This window comes from Homo sapiens, chromosome 14 (genome assembly GCF_000001405.40).
Source record: "Homo sapiens chromosome 14, GRCh38.p14 Primary Assembly".
NCBI classification, from domain to species: Eukaryota; Metazoa; Chordata; class Mammalia; order Primates; family Hominidae; genus Homo; species Homo sapiens.
In genome coordinates, this window is record NC_000014.9 from 88,360,433 (window position 1) to 88,366,960 (window position 6,528).

At 38.8% G+C, this 6,528-nt stretch overlaps 2 annotated features.

Annotated features, from left to right (window-relative positions):
* Nucleotides 4,189-4,996: an enhancer, noted in NCBI's record as "OCT4-NANOG hESC enhancer chr14:88830965-88831772 (GRCh37/hg19 assembly coordinates)". NCBI's record gives its function as "activates a minimal SCP1, AML or CMV promoter by ChIP-STARR-seq in primed H9 embryonic stem cells {active_cell/tissue: H9 hESC(primed)}" and the evidence as "EXISTENCE:reporter gene assay evidence [ECO:0000049][PMID:30033119]".
* Nucleotides 4,333-4,627: a silencer, noted in NCBI's record as "tiled region #789; K562 Repressive non-DNase unmatched - State 24:Quies". NCBI's record gives its function as "represses a minimal TATA promoter and a strong SV40 promoter by Sharpr-MPRA in K562 cells {active_cell/tissue: K562}" and the evidence as "EXISTENCE:reporter gene assay evidence [ECO:0000049][PMID:27701403]".

Here is a 6,528-nt window from a genome sequence, read left to right on the forward strand (position 1 = left end):
CCCAAATTGTAATCCCCACGTGTTGGGGAAGGGACCTCGTGGGAGGTGACTGACTTGACCAGGGCAGTTCCTTTGTGCTGTTCTCATGATAGTGAGATCTCGTGAGATCTGATGGTTTTGTAATAGGCCTTTCCCCCCTTCACTCTGCACTTCTCTAATTCTTCTCCTTCCTGTCTCCATGTGAAGAAGGACGTGTTTGCTTCCTCTTCATCTGTAATTGTAACTTTCCTGAGGCCTCCCCAGCCATGCTGAACTGTAAGTCAATTAAACCCCTTCCCTTTATAAATTGCTCAGTCTCAGGTATGTCTTTATTAGCAGCGTGAGAACAAACTAATACAGCTTATATAACTGGTAGGGCCAGAGGCAGAGCTCACTTCAACCAGAGTTGTATTTGGATGATAAAATAGTCTCTTCAGGAGGTGTTCTGAGTCTCTTTGTCTCTCTCTTCCAGCTTAGCAGATGCAGCAGAAAAAGTCAATACTAGAATCTCTAGCAGCTATGTCCCAGGGAGGTTGCCGATAGGATGGTGTGCTGACCAGGGCCCCACACCCACCTGGAATGAATGCCTGAAGCCAGCTTGCCTGGGAGTGTTCTCCTGGATCCCATTCCCATTTCCTGTGATAATAGAGAGCTAGAAGAAAAGAAGGGACTGGGAAGGAGGGAAGATCAAGACCTAGGATGAATTTCCCACAGGAAGACAAGGGAAAAGGTGCTAGGCAGTCAAAAACAAGTGTTCACAACAAATGCCTTCTCTGCACCAGGCATAGCCAATATGAAAATAACCTAAAAGGTCACTTAATGATATTTTAAATTACAAAGAGTAAATGTGTGTTTAATGGTCCCTGTTGCCTGGGCAGCAGACACCGCTGATGCTCAGCCCACATCTCCTCAGCCCTTACCACTTTATTGGATGCCAATCCCAACTTCAACAGCCAGTGTGTGCACCTTACTGCTTACAGCTTTCTCTGAACATGGAAACTTACTTACATGCCAATAGGGCAAGTCAGAAGGCCAGGGAATTAGCCACCTAAGGCCCTTACAGCCCTTAGACAAGTACAGTTGTTAGATGGTGGATCAATGCCCTAGCTTCCCCACCCCTGGGGTAGGATAACTGCTGAGTTCTGTACTGTTTCCCAGCTCCTTCCTGGTGGGATTGAGTTCCAGTTACCCACAGTGGTAACTTGCTTGATAGCATTCCTTTTTTGGCTTCCTTCTCTTCTCTCTCTCACTTCCATGTCCCCCTTCTAGTGTTTATTTGGACCATCTCCTAAATAAACTACTTGTACTTGAATTCTTGTTCCAGAGGAACCCAAACTATGACAGCCAAAAGTAGTGGTAAGTTATTTAAATGTATTACCTCCTGTCATTCTCTTAACAATCACATGAATTGTACACTATTATTATGCTATTTTGCAGATAAAGAAATGAGGCCCTTAGTAAAGGCCACACTGCTGGGGAAAAGCACAGCTAGAATTCAAAGCAGGTTGACTCCAACACACACTTAACAATGGCTGCTGTGCTTCCTGACACTTTACAATATCCCTATAGACCCCCAGCTTCCAGTGATTCTATTCAAAGCAGGTAAATCCCAGAGCATCACTGAAGGGGATGTAAATGAACTGGAGAAAGTACTGTTGTTCCGTAGAATCCCAGGGGGAAACGTGACCCAAGTAGCCTTGCACGTAGTAGGTGCCCCTTAATATTTATTGAAATAACATGTGGCAGTATTTACTTTACAAAACATCATTAGTGTTATTCTTTATGCTATCCTTGAAAAAGGGAAGCTTTCTGAGGGATAATTCTCCAGTAAAATGTTTCTAAATCAATACAAATGACAGTCCCCCTGGATTACGATAAAGTAATCATCTCCAGAGTAGAAGAAAATTGGACTCAACCGTGTTCAGAATAATACATGTTGCTCTTTTACAAAAAAAATGTATAACTTCAAAATATACATATTCTTACTTATCTAGGACAGCTTAGGTACAGGTTTGCCTAAGACCAAAGACTGAAGCAAATTCTCATTGATCTTTTCCATTTTATACATCCCCAATTGCATATGAAAATCATTTTTCTATTATTTTAGGTAGCACATGCATAAGAGAGTGAACACGCCTAAGGACAAGTCACTGAAATAATTGTCTTCCTGCCTATTTCCTGATTTAGTGGAATGAGCACGAAATCAAGAGTCATAAAGACCAATTGTGTGGGCTAATTACTTATCTTTTCTGGGCTCCATAGCTTTTTCTGCAAAATTAGAACTTTTGCTTAGCAATCACCAGCATCCTCCTAGCCCCTAAATTTTCTGACAAACAAGGGAAAATATTTGCTTACCTCCAGCCTTGTGTACAAACTGAATTAAAGAGTGTCGGAACATCACTTCTTCTACCTTGTTCAGATATTGTACAGAAACATTCACTCTGCATCTTATAAATAACACAGAGGAAGTCTTTCTGTACCCAGATCACCACCAAACTTTCTATCTTGACTGTGCTTTCACTGTGGGAAATATTAATAGCTCCTGTGTTCATTGTGACCTCAATGTTATCATAATCTCAGGTTGCCTATAGGTATAAACTTCAGTGAATACTTAACGTTACAGAATGATAGGCTGTTTTCATAACACATTTTCACACTGTTGGATAATTTAGATTTTGTTTAAAAACATAATGAACACTAAGAAGTTGTTTGCAGACAAGGAAATGGAAGACTTCAAAGAGGATAAGAGAAATCTCACATTTAATTCAATTAAGTCAGAGAATGAACATGTCTAAGGATGTCAAGAACCACCCTCCCACCTCCATTTTCTAAGATTACTTACTCAAATATTCTAAAGAAATAATTAATTTAGTCTAAATTAAATCTAAGTTTCTAATAGTGTTCTTCAAATACTTCAAACTACTAGGTAGAACCAAGTGATATTGTCTAATTGACAATTTTTTATTTATAAAACAGCAATTTCATGTCATTCAATCTAATAATTTAGAGTGTTTCTGTATATTGCAGGCAGACATCTAACAAGACAAAGAACTAAAGTGTGACTGGAGTGGAGACTGAAATCCCTTAGAAAGACTAGGCAAAGTATCAATAAAGAATGGTTTTCATTGGTAGCTTACATAAATCATGGCTTTTAAAAATTGATTTGTGCGTGGCAGTTTGTGAATAGTAGATGCACTTATAAGAGCTTTTCAAAAATTCTTTAACTGTTAAAACTTCAGATTCTATTTTTTTAAGTGGAAAAGATATTATCAGGATAGATGAACAGATTGGTTAAGCTTTTTGTTTTGCTTTGTTTTTCATGGTGAAGCCACTTGTAAACAGAGAATGCATTCGGTGGAGATTATCAAAGCTTTAGGGTGAGCATCCTCCCAAATGTACTGTTGTGGAGATTGATTGACAGTGGAAGAATAGATGGAATGCTCTTCTTAAGCTATGGGGACAGGTTACCTAGTAACCACTGAATGATTAAGTTCTGTTCACAGAGACTTGTTCTGTTAATTGGACGAAAAGATTTAAAGAGCGCAGCTGGGGAGAAATGGAAAGATGGAGGACCGTGGCCATTATTAGTGGACCTGACCAGCAGCCTTAGCCAAATTGTCACAATATGAGTGAATCTTCTGTTAGTACAAAGAAGTCAGTGAAGCTACCTACAGAGTCACAATTTTGTGCACTTTTTAACTGTAGGAAAAATGAAAATAAGGTGTGGAATTACACATATTAAAAAGTGCAGTGAAAACTGTGCGGTGTTATAGTTCTGAGAATGATCATTTTCTGTGGACAAGATTATATTTGTGTTCAGATATCAGAGTTCTATTATTTAAGAGAACTCAAAATAGGCACTTGGGGTCAGTATATCCTATCACAACTCTCTTCGGTCTAATACCATCAGGCACATACTGCTTTATAGAGAATTGTGGTCACCTCTGTTCTCTCCTGCTTTTAACAATAAAATTAAGAAAAGTCAAGGTATAGATTGGTAATAATGACATTTTTCATTCATTAAGGATTAAGAAAAAGCAAGGTATAGTTTGGTAATAATGACATTTTTTATTCATTAAGGATTTTTAGATGATAGAGTACTTTTTGCCTATGCTCAAAAAAGAACTCAGTATTTATATTTTAGAAAGGAAAAAGTATCTAAGACAAGTCTCAATCAATTTAGAGATTTATTTTGCCAAGGTTAAGGGTCATGACCTATGACACAGCCTCAGGAGGTCCTAAGGACATGTGCCCAAGGTGGCTGGGTTATAGCTTGATTTTATGCATTTTAGGGAGACAGAAGTTACAGGTAAAGACATAAATCAATACATGTAAGGTATATATTGGTGTAGCCAGGAAAGGTGGGACATCTTGAAGGTGGGGGTTAGGCTTCTAAGTCATAGGTGGATTTAAAATTTTCCTGATTGGCAATTGGTTGAAAGGGGTAAGCTCTGCCTGAAGAGTTGAAATCAGCTTGAGTGAAGGTAACTGGGGAGGGGTGGGTTGTGGAAACCAAGGTTTTTGTCATGTAGATGAAGCCTCCAAGTAGGAGAATTCAGAGACAATAGATGTGAATGTTTCCTATGGAACTTTAAAGGTCGGTCAGACTATTCAGAAAGACCTAGTAAAGGAAGGAGATTCTCTACAGAATGCAAATTTCCCTCACAAGAGACAGCTTTGCAGGACCATCTCAAAATATATCAAATAAATATATTTTGGGGTAAAATACTTTCGCTTTCTTCAGGGCCTACTATCTGTCACGTGATGCTATACTAGAGTCTGTTTGGAACTTGCTGGCTTATTGCTACAGAGCCTGTTCTGTCAGTCTTAGAATTCCTGTTTTCATATTAATGCTGGTCAGTTGTGCCTGAACTTCAAAGGGAGGCGGGTATAATGAATATGTCCTACCTTCCCCTTCCTGTGATGGCCTGAACTGGTTTTTCAGATTCCTTTGGGTCCCCTTGGCTAAGAGGAGGATCCATTCAGTCAGTTGGGGGGACTTAGAATTTTCTTTTGGTTTACCATATATATATGTATGTATATGTACACATATATTATCTAATTGGAGAAGCTCTACCTTGGAGCAGAGCTTTTTTGTCTGCTTGGGTTTTTTTTTAATTTTTAATTTTTGTGGGTACATGATAGGTACATGTATTTATGAGTTGCATGAGATATTTTGATACAGGCAAGCAATGGATAATAATCACTTAAGAGTGAATGGGATATACATCTGCTCAAGCACTTTTCCTTTATGTTACAAATAATCCAATTATACTCTTTTCATTGTAAAACAAAAAGTATCTGAGGCAGGTCTCAATCAATTTAGAAAGTTTATTTTGCCAAGGTTAAGGACGTGGGCCTGGGAAGCTGCACCTGGGAAACAGATCTGTGCTTTTCTCCAAAGATGATTTTGAGGGTTTTGATATTTTAAAGGGGAAAGAGGAAGAAATTTTTAAAAGGTGTAGATAGATGAGACAAGTGGTTGCATTCTTCTGAATCTTTGATCAGCCTGTCGTCAATTACAAAATGTACATGTGAGGGGGATAGAAGAATAATCCCTTATGCCTTCTCTAGCTCAGTGATCTGCATTTTTACATCAGAGGAAGCAATCAGATATTCACATGTCTCAGAGGAGCAGAGGGATGACTTAGAGTTCTGTCCTTTGTCCTGTACCTGGGAAGATAAGCTATTATTTACATTGTTGGGATAAAATTCAACAGAGCTATTTTAGGGTAAAGATCTTGGGCCCCACAAGGAATTTCCCAGTGGACAAATTGTGAGGCAGGTGTGTTAGCTTTTTTATCTTTGTAGCTGTCTTATTTAGGAATAAATTGGGAGGCAGGTTTGCCTGATGCAGTTTCCAGCTTGAGTCTTCCCTTTGGCTTAGTGATTTTGGGGTACTGAGATTTACTTTCCTTTCACATAATTATTTTAAAATGTACAATTAAATTATTTTTTACTATAGTCACCCTTTTGTGCTAGCAAATATGGGGCCTTATTCATTCTTTCTAACTATTTTTTGTACTCATTAACCATCCCCACTTCCCCTTCTAACCCTGTTACTCTTCCCAGTCTCTGGTAACCATCCTTATACTCTCTGTCTCCATGAGTTCAATTGTTTTGATTTTTAGATCATAAATAAGTAAAAATATATGAAGTTTGTCTTTCGGTGCCTGGTGTATTTCAGTTAATATAATGATGTCCAGTTCTATCCATGTTGTTGCAAATAACAAAATCTCATTCTTTTTTATGACTGAATAGCACTGCATTGTGTATATGTACATTTTCTTTATCCAGTCATCTTTTTGTTGTTGTTGAGACAGAGTCTCGCTCTGTCACCCAGGCTGGAGTACAGTGGTGCGATCTCAGTTCACTGCAACCACCACCTCCTGGGTTCAAGCAATTCTCCTGCCTCAGCCTCCTGAGTAGCTGGGATTACAGGTACCTGCCACCACCCACAGCTATTTTGTGTGTGTGTGTGTTTATATTTTTAGTAGAGACAGGGTTTCACCATGTTGATCAGGTTGGTTTCGAACTCCTGACCTCAAG